This window comes from Homo sapiens, chromosome 21, assembly GCF_000001405.40.
Source record: "Homo sapiens chromosome 21, GRCh38.p14 Primary Assembly".
NCBI lineage: Eukaryota > Metazoa > Chordata > Mammalia > Primates > Hominidae > Homo > Homo sapiens.
This window is the reverse complement of record NC_000021.9, coordinates 40,838,351-40,854,553: the sequence shown is the minus strand read 5'-3', so window position 1 is coordinate 40,854,553 and position 16,203 is coordinate 40,838,351. Positions and strand designations below refer to the sequence as shown.

Sequence of the window (16,203 nt, the reverse complement as noted above, 5' to 3'; positions counted from 1 at the left end):
ACATCACTCCTGCAGGGAACACAAGGCTGGCCCCTCGCCTTTCTCCACGTAGTGTTTTGGGACCCCTGCCCCTCTCTGTTTAGCACCTCCCCAGTGAGGACGGAGCTCCTTTAGAGACCCTGGGGCGTTTCATCAAGACTGTCTTCCCTGGTGTCTGAAAAGCTGCCCACGAAGCCACAGAGCTGAGCTGTGGCTGGGGCTACGGGGTCATACAAGGATCCCTGAGCTGCTTCCTCATTCTGCTGCCCTTGGGGCCACGCTGGATCATTCCCCAGACATTGAAAGCCCCGTGCTAAAACCAGGATTTCTCCGCTCATCTCATCTGGAGGCCCCTCCTGTAAGGAGGCCCCAGGGACAGCTGCCTGGCACGCCTGGCGCCTCCAGGAACTCTGTATGAACACCGTTCTTTCAAGAGGGGGCCGCTGCACCCCTCCACGAGAGTCCCGGGGCTGGTGGGGGCTCGGGTCCCTCAGGCAGATCCAGGCCCGCACCCCCATCTGCAGCTCTCCCCCCAGCCTCTTCCCTCAGCGTCGTCCTTCCCCTCAACTGAATCCCAATGGGCTGTCATGATCAGCGCTCTCCACACAGGCTTATGTTTCGGTTTGAAGTCTTCTCTGCTTCTAAAACCTATTTGATACAAACCCCGCCTTGACCTTCTCTTATAATTCAAATCCCTAGACTCAGTACCTGTCTTCATTTAAAAAAATAACTTGTTAGAGTGCCTATGAGCAAGCCACCTGCCCAGTGCGGAGTAAAGAAATATTTATTTTGATGAAATGTGTATGCAAGTTGATAAGCTGATTTGACATCTAAGAAGTGTTTTTTTTTTAAATTCCCTTCCATCTGGGTTTTTTTTTTTTTTCTATCACAATTCTATGTCTCCCAAGGTGTGAAATGCAGGAGATGTCACTAAGGGTCTCTGTGCCTTGCCTCATGCAACACTTTTTTTTTTTTTTTGATCTAGTCTCTTTCATAATTCAGCAGATATTCATTGAGCATTTACTATACGCTAAGCATTATTCTAGGTGTGGTGAGTGCAGAAGTGAACAGAAAGACAAAATCTCAGCTTTCATCTAAGAAGATAAGCCCGTAAATAATTACATACATTTATAAATCAATATAGTGAAAATAAAGCTCAGCGGATACACACTGGTAGGGTGGAGAATGCTATTGGTGTGGGGGTTTGTCAGGGAAAGGCTCTCCGAAAAGAAGGTGTCTGCATAACCAGTGATGGCAGTGGGAGGGTGGCCCCTGGGGTGCCTGAGGGAAGAGTGTGCGCTTGTGCTGAGTGTGCCTGCACAAAATGCAGGAAGCCAGCGCTGGGTGTGTGAGCAGGAAGGTGGCAGGGGCAGGGGATCTACCCTACAGGAGCTGGTGCTGGAGAACACAGGGCTCATGGCCATGGTGAGGACTTCGGATTTCACCTTGCATGATACAGGGAGGCAATGGAGAGTTTGATCAGGGCTTCCAATGATATTGTGTGTGTGTGTGTGTGTGTGTGTGTGTGTGTGTGCGTGCATTGCAGGATCAAGGTGGCTGCTTTACAGAGACCAGGCTGTGTGTGAGAGAGTAGAAGTGGGGAGAAATGTAAAAGCCCATGGGAGATGATGGGGTTCCTGTTCTTGGTCAGAGGCTCCTCTGTCCACACAAGCATCCACCATGGATCTGTAGGAGTCATCTTGCCATCCTCCCCGTCCCTCCCCACATGCCCCAACTCTTCCCTCTTCAGAAGGGGACTGATCATTACTGGACCTCTGGGTGTTGTGCTTGGGTTCAGACCAAGCTCTGCCCCCAACTGGCTGGGTAATATAGTGCAGGGTTCTGGACCGCTCTGAGCCAAGGCTTCCGCATCTGGAGGGCAGGGAGGAGAGAAGCAGTGCTCACCTCCCAGAAAAGAATTGATTTTGTGAGCACAGACAGCACGTTGCCTAAAACTGAACATACAGATGTTGAATGAGTGTCAGTGACGAGCTAAAGGCCTCATGTACTGAGAATGATGCAACTGTTATTTAAAGTACTATTAAAGTATTTCCAACTCCTGATCATCTCACCTTTTAAATGTCTTTCACTATTATCTGCGGCAAGTGGCTTCATCCCAGTCCTACTGCACTGGTCAGGTCTTCCTCATTTCCTAGAAAGTTCTCCCTGCATCCTTCTCACATTCCTCAGGCCATTATCCAGTGTGTCCCCAGAAGGGAATGTTTCCAAGGCATACCCCTCATTGTGTCACTTCCCTATTGACCATACATCAGTGGTTTCCTTTCGCCTTCAGGATGGACCCCAACTCCTCCTTGCAAGGGGCCTTCCATGACTGTGCTGTGTCCTGCCAGTCTGTCTCTGTACATTCAGCTCTCTCTGCCGTGGGGCAACTGTTCCTTCGTGTACAAGGCTGAAGCTAACAGAGTGTTCAGGACTCAGCTCCGGTATCTGCAGGGAAGCCTTCCCTGCCCACTGTCTCTGCCACACCTGCTTCCACCACACACACACATACCCACCCACCCAAAACAATGCACATAAACACACACCACATATGCAAACACACAAAATACACACACACACTAAAATACAAACACACACCACAGAAACACATAAACACAAACACACTTTCACAGAGAAACACACACAGTCACAAACACAGATACCACACACACAAACACACACCAAACTCAGAAAGACACACATGTACAGCACACACACAGGCACACACACACCACACCAGCTAGTTGAATTAGATGTGTCAACTCCCGATTATATAATTTATCTTATCAAATTGTTGTCACTATTATTTGAATTTCCCACTTGATTGAGGTTAGTAGATACTGTGTTTTGGTCTTTTTTTTTTTCTTTTTTTCCACACAGTAAGGCATGTAAAGTACATAAGGCTTAAGTGTACAGCGTGGCAAATTTTCCATGTGTATTTTCCTGTGTGGTGTTTACCCACACCCAGACGGAGAACATTTCAAGCAGCCCAGAGGCTCCCCGGTGCCCAACCCGGTTCATCCTCATCCATCTTTAGCCCCCACAGGGACTACTATAACAACTTGTAGATAACAGACTTATGCCAAATATTTGTTGAAGGACTCAATCAGTTCATTGGAGGAAGAAATGGGTGGGTCGCTGCTGACATTCTTGATCATCTCTGCCGTTTGCAGTTCTGAGACCAGAGGTGTGGCAGTGTCTGGTTTCAATGAATCAAAACACCCTATAGCCAGAGTGAGGCTTTGCCAAGTAATGTGTTTCCTCAAAATGTTTCTATAGGTTCAGTTGTAGGCTGTTATGACATCATGTAGTGGTTATCTGTGTAACCTTCTCAGAGCCAACTCCCATATCTCATTGAATCCTCTCAACAATCTTCTAAGATCGGAAGGGTGGGTATGATTACTCAATTTTCCACGAGAAGAAACTGAGACTCCAAGTAAAGTCTGAGCTCCTTCTCTGCACAGGGAAGCACCATGATGGTCCCTGATGCACACGGCTCAAGAGAGTTATAAAGCAAGATGCTGGTGTCCTCACCCAAATCTACAGAAACCCTTCTCTGCCCCTTGCCATTTGACTTCAGGCATCTTGATCCTGTTGGGGTTTAACTGTATTCCCTTCTCTCCAAAAGATAGGGTGCAATCCTAACCCACAGTGCCTCAGAGTGGGACCCTATTTGAAAGTAGGGACATCAAAGGTTGCAAATGTAATAAGTTGAAATGAGATCATACTGGAGTAGGGTGAGTCTCTATTCTAACATAACCACCATTCTTGTAAGAAGAGTAGAGACGCCCAGACACTTGCAGGGATAAAGAAAGCCATGTGAAGACAGAAGGTGAGATCAGAAAGATGCAGCTGCAAGTCAAAGAGTGCCAAGGATGGCAGCAACCACTAGAGGCTGGATGAGAAAAGGGGAAGCTCTCCTGCAGGTTGCAGAAGAGGAGGTTCCTACCAACACCTTGGTTTTGGACTTTTAGCATTCCAAATTCTAAGACAATAGGTTCCTGTTGTTTTAAGTCACCCAGTTTGGGGACGTTTGTTTCAGCAGCCCTAGGCAACTAATGCAGGTCCCCCATGGGAAACTCCTTATTGCCTTGATCAGAATGAACCCCACAGGTCCAGCAGGACTGAGGCTTCCCACGGTGGAGACCTTACTGCCTAAAATGCCCTCCTTGCTCATCCCTGGCAACATTCAACCCCCAACCCTTCCTTTAGCACAAGGCTCAAAGGCCATTGCTTCATATATGCTCTTCCTGGTTCTCCAACAGAAAACAGAGGAGTAACAGATGCTATACTTGGATGATGTAACCTGGATGATGTAACTCCTCAAATGTGCATTGTTCCTTATTTAGCATCAGTCAAGTGAGCACCAAGGTGGCCTCTTTGACTTTACCTTTCTTCCCCTAGGATGGCTGACCCAGAGCTGCAGGAAGACAGAACTGGGGAAGGGAAAAGTCTGGATGGAATTGTTTCAGGTCAAAGGTTGATCTTCCAGAGGCTACACTGATTAGGAATACAAAAGGAGGAATCACTGGAAACCTAAGGTATTTTATAAAGTTAACTTTTCCAGATGTTTATACTCTCAGGGCAGAATCCCCTGTCCTTGACTCAGTTTTGCATGTTGACATCTTAACTGAATTTGAAAGCTCAACGTTCTTGCCATTTCCTCTGAGACTTCTATATGAAGTACAGTACTCACTTTCCCTCCTAAATTACCATGGCGCTTTATGTGTACACATGTGTGCATATCTGAGGACAGGCTCCGCCTTCTACCTGCATTAGAGATCTCCATTCCAGCCCACAAATACTTACCGAGCATGTACTTGGGCCAGGCCATGAGGATACCTTCCTGAACAGGAAAGAGTGTCTGGTCTCATGGAACTCACAGTTTAGTGAGAAATAAGTATGTTTCTTACTGAAGTCTATTACGTAAATACATTTGAAAAGACACTGGTGCATGTGTTAGGCCCATTCAAGGTCCTTCACCCATTCACCCTGTGGCAGATGCATTAATAGACAACCACGGAGAGGTGCACTCACACGGGGTCCCATCTGGTCCCAGGCAAAGAAGGGCCTGCACTTGGGGTTGAATTCTCTGTAGTCACCATCTTGAAATGTTTAATGATATCACCTCTGTTTTACCTTTTCTAAATCCAATGGGACAATGGAGCATGAAGAGGGCTTGGAGCCTTGGCTTCTGTACCATCCTGCTACCTGCCACCTGCCACCTCTCCTTTGGGAGAGGTTCTTGGCTGTCCACTTCCCAACCCCATGTTCCCCCAGCTCTTGAGCAGCCTCTGCCCCTGCAATTGTTGCTGCTTCCCAACAGGGTGGCAACTGCATCATTTTGGAACAGCAAGCCTGTGTTCTGCCACCACCTGCCATCTCTGGTGAGTGTATGGGCATGTGTGCAGGACAAGCACTGTGCAGGAGTTCAGAGAAAGGCCTCGCAGTGACCATCCCCTCAGCAGGCTGGCAGTGCCAGGGCACATTCCACAAGTGGCCAGAGGCTTGTGCCCACCTCCAATCCAGATACCCAGAGCTTCCCAGCATGGAGGTTGCAATCCCTGAGGGATCTCCTGTCCACTGTACATTGGGACAGTGGGCTGTGGGAGAGAGACAGTGGCTTCCCCACCCCCTAACTGTGGCTGGCCACAGCATGTGGGTGCAGCCAAGGGCAGGGAAGCAACTGGCAAGTGGAAGCCTCTTGTACTGCACTGAGTCACCTGGAAGGTCTGTGGGGTCTGTACAGGGGTGCATTCCCACGCCCAAGGAAGAGCAGCATGTAGCAGAAAACACCATGACTGGTTGAGAGAGGCAGGAAGAAAGGAGGAAGTGTTCTGTTTTAGCACTTGTTATGGTGCTTCTTTTTCATTTTGAGAAAGGAGCTCTCCATTTTCATTTTATAGTGGACCCCACAAATCATGTTTCCAGCCCTGCTCCCAAACTCAGTAACAGTTAACCACAGCCATCGCTAACTACAGTGACCATGTGCTGTCAACGGATGGAAAGATCTTCACACCTCTGTGAGTTAAGAACTGTGATAATTTCCAGTCTGCATATGAGGAAATTGAGGCTCGAGTCACATGCAGAAGCCCCACATCGGGGTAGTGGAGGAGCTGCAATTCGACCCTGGGTTTCCCTGACCCCAGTGCCTGGGCACCCTTGCAGGTGGCTAGTGTGCAAGTAAGAATTAATGAATAGGTCAACCAGCCAGATGCAGGGACAGAATCAGGCCCATCCCCTGCCTTCCTGGGTTGCATTTGGGAAGGACCAGGGACTGAGCACCCAGCATTTGCAAAGCCAGAGGATGCTGGTTCTGGTGCGTGGTACTGGGGGCTGGGCCTGCGCAGCCTGAGTGGGCGGCAGCACGTGATCACCTGCAGCTGCAGAGCCGTGGTGAGCCAGGCAGCATCACCGGCTCAGCTGACCCTTCCTGGTACACAGGGCCTGGCCATCTTGTGCCCAACCCTGGTAAAGCACCATTTTGTTTCTGCCTCACCATTTGCTTCTCCTGTGTTTTGTGAGCTGTCTGAGATGTGCATCATTCTTCTGTATTTGGAGGGGGACATGGAGCCCAGTTAGGATACCTAGTGCCTAGGAAAAAGCCTACTCAATTTCCCTTGAAAATGTCTCCCTTGACCCCCACCGAATGCTTTTTTTCAGTCCTGATTGTCCTGACTGTGAGCATTCCATCCTGGCTTCTACACTGGGGTGCATTCCAGCCCTGTCGGTCATTATATTGCAAAGTGATGGATAGATGTACGCCCTTGTGAGAGCTTTAATTTAAATATTATCATGACTTCAAGAATCATACAGAACATTCAGGAAATGTTAACATATTGACTTTTCACAGAAACGTGAAAGGGGCTATATGTTTGGGATTACTCAAATTATCAGCAATTTCAATCAGCTTTTTTATGCGCCATTCAGAGAGCAAAATTAGAAGTGCTTGTGTTTGCATTCTACCATGTATTCAAGATAATTAAAAATTAGCCCGTGAAATCATAGAGATCTTTACAGTAGCAGCAAGGATTTGGAAGGAGCATTTCCCTCTAAGCAAATGAACTGGACTTTTCTGAGAGTAAATACGGAATCGGAATCCAGCTGCACATTTTATTAAAACTACGAGCATTTCATGTTCACCTCTCCGTGGCTGGCCACCTTCCGCAATAGTCACCCCGGCCATCCCTTATTAGCAACCGGCAGGAAAATAACTAAAAATAAGCAGCTGTTGAAATGATTATTTAAGCCTCTAAGAAATTCCTCCTGATGACTGTGCGTGACTGTGCGGTGGCTGCGCTCTCCCCGGTCCTGCCTCAGTTCGGCTGCACGTCTCTGCTGCTGCTTTAAGACTGCAGAGCGCCCCAGCGGCCAGAGGCAGGGGAGGGGTCCCTGCTCGCCTCCGCGCTCGGCTTCACTCGCCCGGCTCGCAGGCAGGGAAGGTTGGCAGAGGGATCCATGTGACTGAGGCCGGAGCACGGCAAAGATGAGCCTGCCCGCCCGCCTGCTGCCTGGATGCGGAGGGTGAGGGCTGGCGCACGGGAGGCCGCTGGCTGCGCATTCTGGGCGCCGAGTGCCCGGGATGAGCTCACGCCCGCGTCTGCGGCTCTCTCCACCTGCCGACCTGCCGGGGGCCCACTGAGCTGACGGCGCACCTGGGCTCCGGCCGCAGCGTGGGGCGCGGCGCCCGGGAGCAGGTGTGCAGGAGCGCAGCGCGCGGCGAGCGCAGCCCTCGCTCCGGAGCCCGGCCGCGCCGCGTGCCCGGGCGGCTAGGCAGCGGCGGCGGCGGCGGCGGGCGGCGGGCGGGCGGCGGCCCCCGGGCAGGTGCCGAGCGGCGAGCGGAGCCGGGCCGGGCGGAGCGCGGGGGGCGAGGCCGGCGCGTCGCTCGCGGGAGGCCGGGGAGCGGCAGGGGCATGTGGATACTGGCTCTCTCCTTGTTCCAGAGCTTCGCGAATGGTGAGCCTTTCGGTTTGTGATGAATTTCGTTTCCTTATCATTGACCGGGGGGGCGGGGGGGTGGGGGGTGGCATTGGATGCATGGGTAAAGTCTTCTTTCTTTTTCCGCTTCATCTGTGTTTAAAATTTCGTGCTTTTATTTATTTTTTAAATATCATATTTATTTTTTGGGGGAGAAGAGGTGGCAATGGAGAGGCCCGGGAGAAATTGCTCTGTAATCATTGGAAGGCGCTTACCTAGCCAAGTGACAGCTCAGAGCCTAACTCCAGTACTAGAGAGCTGCCTCATTCAGAATAAACCAGGTTTGGTGACAGAAGGAGAGACAGGAAGATTGCCACTTTGAATATTACAACCTGGAAAGGGATGTGACATTCCAAGTGCACGCAAGTGGAGGGGTCAATGAGGAACATCTCCCTTCAGATTCAATGCTTTTTGAGATTTTTCAAACACGTAATTTCATGCTAGTACAATGTATCTCCAGCACCAAGGAGGGCTTTAAGAATGTTCTGTCCTTCTATGCACCCCGTGCTGCTTCATGCTCCTCACAGTCGTTTATGTAAAAATATGCACTGATAAGCATTACATCATCTGAAATGTTGACAAATTAAAAAAAAAAAAACACCTGTATAGTTGTAAAAATGAAATCAGTGAATATTGTAAATAGCATACATTTCCTCATGCCCAGCCAATATTATATTTTGAAATGATTTCTTCCTGGGTATTTAGAAAGCTATTGCTCTTGACTGAGTCAGACCCAATTAGTAAGTGTGACTGCACCTTAGGCTGCCTGTCACCGCATAAATATGAACTTACATGTATGAATGGCTTCCTCTCTTGTGGGAACCAGAGGAAATTGTCATCATTTGACATCGCCTGGGAGTAGCTACGGCTTAAATTCCCATTTCAAATTTTGGAACACACATCTGCATAAAATGTATAACCTACTGACAGTTGAAATTAAACCATTAAGCAGAATCCCCTAGCCAGAAGAGAGGAGAGAGAGAGAGAGAAAGAGAGGAGGGAGAGAGAGCGAGACAGACACAGAGACAGAGAGAGAGAGAGAGAGAGAGAGAGAGAGGAGAAGAAGAGAAGGTAAAAGAAGAGAAGAGAGGAAATCTGGCCCTTGTGAGAAAATACGAGAAGCAAAGGGGAGGCTCTAAGATTTTCCTGGAAGACACACAGGGAAGCTCTGTGTGTTGGCTGCAAGGCAGTGCATTTTCTTTGCCTACCTAGACAGTGCCTAAAGAATCAGCATACCAACAGGCCAGAAGAAATGCATGAGCATTGTCAATTTTTTAAAAAAACGGTGACTAAGAAAAGGTAGAGTTGAAAGAAGGTACTATCAAAATGAACATGAAAATGATACTTTGCTCTCCAGTATAACCTAAAGCAAAGTGTTTGAAACTTTCATTTTGAGATTTCCTAGCAGGAAAGAATTGCAACAAGTTCTGACAAGACACCCATCTTTCCCAGAGGGCACCATACCTGTCCTGTGTCCTCCTGGGAATTTCCCTTCAGGGACAGATGTGCTTAGGGAACATGCGGAGATGTGTCGGGGAAGTCAGCCCTTTCTGCTCTTCTGCTAATGCGACCTCCTAAGAAATGTAGAGATGCCTACACATGTGTTCCAAAGACACAGAGCCTTGACACCCTGTTTCGCCTGTCAGGGAGTACCTTTCTGAACTCCTTGGAAAGGCCTGGGTTATAAGAAGAAACAAAATTTGCACCCCATTGGGAAGTGTGTGTTTCAGGATGATGAAAGAGGCTGTGCTGGTTGTCAGTCAGCCAGTATTTATTTACAGTTTTAGCATTTTGTATGACAAAATGGTATGGAAGAATTTATGATACTGATACAGACTATTAGCCTCTGATACAGAGATGCTATATGTGTGTGTGACTTTTTTTCTGAATCAGCATTTTATAACTAAAATAAACAATCATAGAAATAATTATATATGGTAATACAATTATATGAAACCTCAAATATTCTGCAATATGAAAAATATATGCAAAAATTATGTAGGTACTCATATAGTGAGTTCTGCAAGTATTATTTTCAAGACTTTTAAAATCAACTGATAATCACCATTATTGTAATAAATATAGGTAGATTCCACAATATTAGACATAAACAGCAAACACAAATGAATATTTTACATTGCTGTATTACGTATTCTGATCCAATCTAGCAGAAGGCTATGGAACTGTCTTGTATAAAAATGCCCCTCTCTTTATATGATCAAGGATGAAAACATTAAAAGCCTGCTGTAAAGCTTTAGGATCTTTGAAGGGGGGAGGGGAAATCAGCTTTAAACAGTTTTCTAAGGTATGGTGTTCATTACATACTGGGGAAAGGATCATAAAATATATAGACATGTTGAAATAAAATAAGAATCCAGTTTGGAACTATGCCTGTTTGTAAGACCATATTTCAAAAATATAAGAGTAAATGGTTTCTACCTATCTGAATTAAACTTTAAAAAATTGAGAATATTTTTGTCAACAACTGTCATATTTTGTTATACCTCAACTTTGAAAAATTTCTGAATGTGTGTGATAAAAGATTGATGAATTCTAATACCTAAACTGATTATTGCTAGGCCTCAAGCATCAAAATGCCTGACATGATAACTTTTTTTTTTCATTTGTAAAAGATTATGTAGTTTAATATTTGGGGCTATTAAAATAAGCCCACAATACATCTGCATTTTAACAGTAGACAACAATATTTTTCTTATTGATGTATCAGAAGTACAGTTATTTCTTAATAAAAGTATGGTTGCTAGACAGGCTGCAGGCAGTATTTTTGAAAAAAAAAAAAAAAAAAAGAAGAAGTCAGTGACCAGGCCCTTCATAGGTTAAACCCTTAAATGAATGACCTCACCTGATGAGGTGCAGTATCGTGTTTTAAAGCAGTCAATTTGTTCTGCAATGTTCTGGAAATACACGCGAGCTTCTGTTACAGTGCAAGGAGCCAAGGTACACGTATGTGCAGACACTCACCCACACACGTCCCTCGGTGTCTTCTCAGCAAAGCTTCCTACTGCATTGTGTTTCATTACCATTTCTCCTGGTTTTAACCCCAGAGCACATTCTAGTTTAAAATTATTGCTAAAAGAAGAGCCAGGCCTTCAGACAAACAGAATGATGAAGAATTAGATTTATTATATGTAATATAGTTTTGCTAGTATCCTGGCATCTCTGTTTTTACACACACACACACACACACACACACACACACACACACACATGCATGCATTCCTGACATCATCTTTTCCTGAGCTGTGGGATTTTCAGTTCTACTGCATCCGCTTTCATGGGGCCTGAGGGTCATGGAGATTAGAGACGGTGGGGTGCTGGGAGTAAGAAGGTGCTCATTAAAGAGAAGATGAGTATGCAGCACCTTTGAGCTTCATCCATTCACTTGATAGGAAATTACAGAGCACACGCTTGCTATTTTATTTAATTAGAAGCAGACCTTTGTAAATACAAATGCACCTTAAGGACTTCAAAGGTGATTTTTATTTAATTCACATAAATGTATGTAAGGAAGAAATGTTATCAGGTGAACAATTTCAGGGCTGCCTCCACTTCCCTTTCTCCCCCATCTTTATTAAACAGATTAAAAAGCTATCCATAATCTCAGGGTTCACCTAAATTCCGAGGCCTTTTAACTTAAGCTGCATGCCCCTCCAAGATGCCCTCTGTAGGAAAACAAAATGCCACGCAGACCTTCAATAAATGCCAGTGGATCGTTCTCCACTTTTTGACTCTCTCCTTTGTCATTTTGGTGTGACCACGGTTTGCTGCCTCGGGGGATCAGTGAGTCACGGGGGGCAGAACCAGCGCAATACAGCATTCTGGTAGGGGAACTAATTTTGACTAAAATATTTGCCAATTCTAATCCCCAATTCCTGGACCTCCGGGTAGCTGGCAAGGTATTTTATGTTAGATGTGTCTGGAGTAAGGTGCACGGAGTATTTCGACAAGAGACTCAATTCAATGCGTATTAAAACTTGATTGAGAGAGGGAGAGAGAGAGGTCATTTTATAAAGAAAGACCTGTGAACACTGTAGATTGGAAATTTATGTTTGCAAAATAAAAGGATGGGTTTATCAAGTGGATGCATTTACAAAATGTGGCATCCAGGTTTCGTAAAATTAGCTGAATTCTACGGGTAAGATTATGAATGTGGCTCATAAATAATTAATAGGTAGTGAAAAAGAATGTATTTTGCATTAGGCAGTGCATTCAATAGTATTTCGGAAATGAGCACTTCGATTTCCTCGGTTTCCATGCGTGGCCCACCTCTCCAGAGCAGGGCAGGCACCCAGGGGTGTGCCCACACAAACAAGCGCGTGTGGGCATTTTCTTGGCTGCTGCGCTGAAGTGCACGCTGGGCCTTGGTGCCCGCACCCTCAGCCTGGGAGATAGGGAGGTGGTGCTACCTGCAGGCCGATTGTGTCCCCGCCATAGGACACTAGTGGGCGGCAAACCTCACAAGACTCTTGCAGCCAGCCTTCAGCAGAGCCAGCAAACCCAGCCGCCACCGAGGGAGGACTGCTCCATGCAGATGGTCAGGGGCTTTCTTCTGAAGACGCCTCCCCCACGATCTCTCAAGTTCACTGCGCCCAAACTCCGGCGTCGTAGAGTTCGTCTAACAGGAACCGGGCAAAGGCAACCGCAGGTCAGGCGAGGTCCAGCAGCCTTTGTTTTCAACTGTACAGCGGAGGACCGTATTCACAGCAATATCTAGAAACCTAGAAGGTGCCCAGAAAGGAAACACAGGTGTTGCAGCGGGTAGCGGGCCCGCAGAAGGGTGCATTTGCACCCCCTTTCCAAAGCCGCGAGGGAACCCCGGCGTGGCGCGCGCCTCGGAGGTGGCAGCTCCGGGAGCAGCTCCGCGCCTGATTGGCTGACCTTCCAATGTCATTCCAGGAGCCGCCGCTTCTCCTGCTGATGGTGACAGGGGTGATGCTGACGTGCCCGCTCCTCCGCAGTCCATCAATCTCCGCAGGCAAGGCTCCGGGACCGGGAGCCCCCTTCCCTCTCCCCCAGGCCCACTGGAAAACACCTGTTCCCCTGGACTGGGGGGTTAACTCTTCAAGTTCCAAAGACCTGGGCACAAAAATGCTCATCTTATCTCTCCGCGCCCCTCCCCCCAACTATATTTATGTTCTTTTCTTCAATGTTGTGAAAATGCCAGAAAATTCAAAGTTGCATTTCCCTTGCCGAATCTATGGGTTAAGATAAGGCAGTGGGAATGGAAGATTCCAGCAGCCCCACGGAGTATCCACTATGTCGTTCTGAATTCAAAGGGTGGAGCACACGGATGTTTTCTGCAGGTGACGCAAGGTCTGTCAAGGTGGCAGGAGGGAAGCAGGGACAGGATTTTGGTTCAGAGGTCAGACAGCTTCTGACCAGGACGTTCAGAAGGGTTGGGTTTCACAAATCTGCTCCTGAAAATCAGTTCCCTCCATATTATCCTTTTTCTAAAAATCTTGGCTGTTTCCTTGATGGAGTCTGTGGTAATCGTTACGCCTGCATTTAGGTGATGCTGATTTGGCTAGTGACTGCCTCTCTCACTAGCTAGACAGGAGCCTCCATAGTCTGAAATGCGTGCGAAGCCTGAGCGTGTCCTTAGCACAGAGCAGAGCACATGGTATGGAGTAGTGGAAATAGATGATGTTCCTTACGGAGTGAAAGGAAAAAGTGATAGGCAGAGCCTTTCTCCCCTCCTTAACTCCTGTCCACCTTCCTCCCTCCCGTCCACCTCTCTCTTCTGCCTCTAGCTGATTGGCTCCCCCTCTTAGTTTGCTTTCCTGGACTTGCTCTCCTGGTCCCTATCTTGCATTCTGACTAAACCACTGGACTCTTTTGCTCTACCCACCTTTTTCTGTCGTAGTGACTCAATCACGGTAGAAATGTTTATTTTCCAGAAACGCCTGTGGCTTGGGGCATTTTCTTCTCTTTTCAAAAAGAGATTCATATTTCGAGTATCTGATGGGACTTCATCACTGTTGCACAACAGCTATGTAATTGCTTTAGGTGCTCTTCCTGCCGTGCAGTGGGTCAAGTGTCACAGACAATAATTTCATCCATGTGCTGGACCCCTTGTTCTCAAGTGTACGCTGCTAAATGGCATGATTTAAAATTCCTATACAGTGTTTATTGCCCTGTCGCATTTTGAAAGCCAGCCAGAAACATCAAACCGACATTTAGGTTCCCCGCCCACTCCGCCACCCCCAGCTCTTGGGAATTCATTTCTTCATCAAAGAGCCACCCAGGACATCAAAACAAAGCTTACTTTCTCAGGCCTTAATTCATCTTTAAAAAGTCATACTACTGTTTTCTTCAGCATCCTATGGATTTATGGGTTTTTTGTCATTATCTTTATTTCTTATTTTGCAGATTCAAATATGACAGTTGCTATCTTCATCAAAGTAACATGAAAGGATATCTTAATCATTGTTAAAGTTGATTTTTGTCCAAATATAAAAATCAAATTAAGTGTCTTATAGCTTACAATATTTATCAGCTTTTGATTTTTGGACATCTCTATTTGTTCTATGTGATCAACGCTGATTTTTTAAAAATCATGCAACTGGATTAATTTTTGATCTTGAAGCCCCCTGGATTATGTAAATACATATTATGGTTTAACAGAGAGGGATGAATGGGATTGAGAAGATATATGTCAAGATATGAAGAAGGAAAGAGGCTACTACACAGAGAGTTAGAATGACAGGGATTAATGAATCTTGCCTGTATCCCTAGTTATTTTTTTTACTGAGAAGACAGTGAGTAAGATTTAAGAGTGAGCAAGCAGTCCTATTTATAGAAAGCTGTTTTTAAGTGCAGCCGCAAAGACAGTGAAAGAAAGAATTGAAAATGCAAGAGATCACCTCCATACTAAATGCTAGCTTCCCCTAACGTCCCAGCTCTGTACAGCATTTTGTAGGAGAAAAAAACAAAAAAAAAAGCATACCAACCCTTGCAGAAATATTATGAAATCTCTTTGGACTCTCTGCAGAATATTCTAGAAGTGCTCTCAGTCTTTAAGTCTATGTTAGGCTTGGGAAGCTGGGGATGAGAAGGCAATATATATATTATCTGGAAACAGCTTGAGTAGGTCTGAACAAAAGACTGGAGGTGAAGGGAGGACATTGAACTTGCAGCACTGCTACAAATATTTATTCTGCAATAAGCCTTGCCTTTCTTAAAGATGTTTCACGGCAGAATAGTAGGAGGGTGAAATCTGCATACATCTCAGTAATAAAGCAATTACTGAGAGAAGAGTTCAAATTTAGGATCCTGTGATTATCACAAGTCCCTCCATGTTAACCTGTTCTCAAACTCTGGGGTTTTAAATTGCAATATATGAAGTCCTTATTTGTCAGTCTGTGTCGGGCAGACAATATCACCCCAGGCTTTGTGATTGACACAAATGTTATTGGACAAGGGAAAAAGAATGCCACATGCTCTTATAAATGAAATAGTCTTTATAAGATTCCATATATAAGTGAGATCATGGATTTTGTATGTGTGTGTCTGGCATATATCACTTAGCTAATGTCCCCCAGGTTCCTTAAGTATATACAATTTAGCATAAAAAAAGAAATGAAATAGTTTTCCTTTCTAGGCCTGTATTTGTTACTTATAGCATTCTGGTTTTCCTGGTTCCAAGTGGGCTTTGGGTTTTATTAATAGTAGAATCGTTGAATTTTTATGCAAATACTGCTGATTTACAGGTTGGAAATCTGGACAAAATCAGACCTGCCCTAGAAGATGATGCTGTGGAAAGTGTTTGCCTTTTGTCTTATAAAGAACCATCTATAAAATGGATCATTTTGTCGCTAGTCTCTCCAGACTATGAAATTGGCATTTTGATAAGGTGATGGAAAGAAATTTGAACTATTTAATTACTGATTTTGATTCATACAAGCCTTGACTCTTTTAGTATTAAAATGAAGAAACAGGAAACAGTTTTAAGTCTGGTTTTACATAAAATTTACACTTTTTTCACACTGAAAATAAAACAGTAAAAGCCAGCTTATAGTTCTTTCTAAATATCCCAACTTTCTCATTATTGGATGCTTCTGCAAAACAGCAGTATGGTGATACCACTCCCAGTGTTGACCTTGATGACCTGAGGGTCCCAAAGTGGCTTCAGCATTATCATGGAGTCACCACAATGATCAGGTAGAAGCTGGTGTTAGGACCAGCGTGAATGGGTCACAGGGGCTGAGGGGGGCTGTTGGGAGGTAG

General features: G+C 45.9%; 1 protein-coding gene across 3 annotated transcripts in view; it reads left to right on the top strand.

The window, feature by feature from the left end:
- The first annotated feature begins 7,395 nt into the window (after positions 1–7,395).
- DSCAM (DS cell adhesion molecule) overlaps positions 7,396–16,203 on the top strand; it is an 836,160-nt gene continuing 827,352 nt past the window's right edge. For all 3 annotated transcript variants that reach the window (NR_073202.3, NM_001271534.3, NM_001389.5), the window contains exon 1: positions 7,396–7,935. Coding sequence is in view for 2 of the 3 variants with exons in the window: in NM_001271534.3 (NP_001258463.1) it covers positions 7,893–7,935 (43 nt within the window). In the remaining variant the exon portion in view is untranslated. The remainder of the gene's footprint in view (positions 7,936–16,203) is intronic.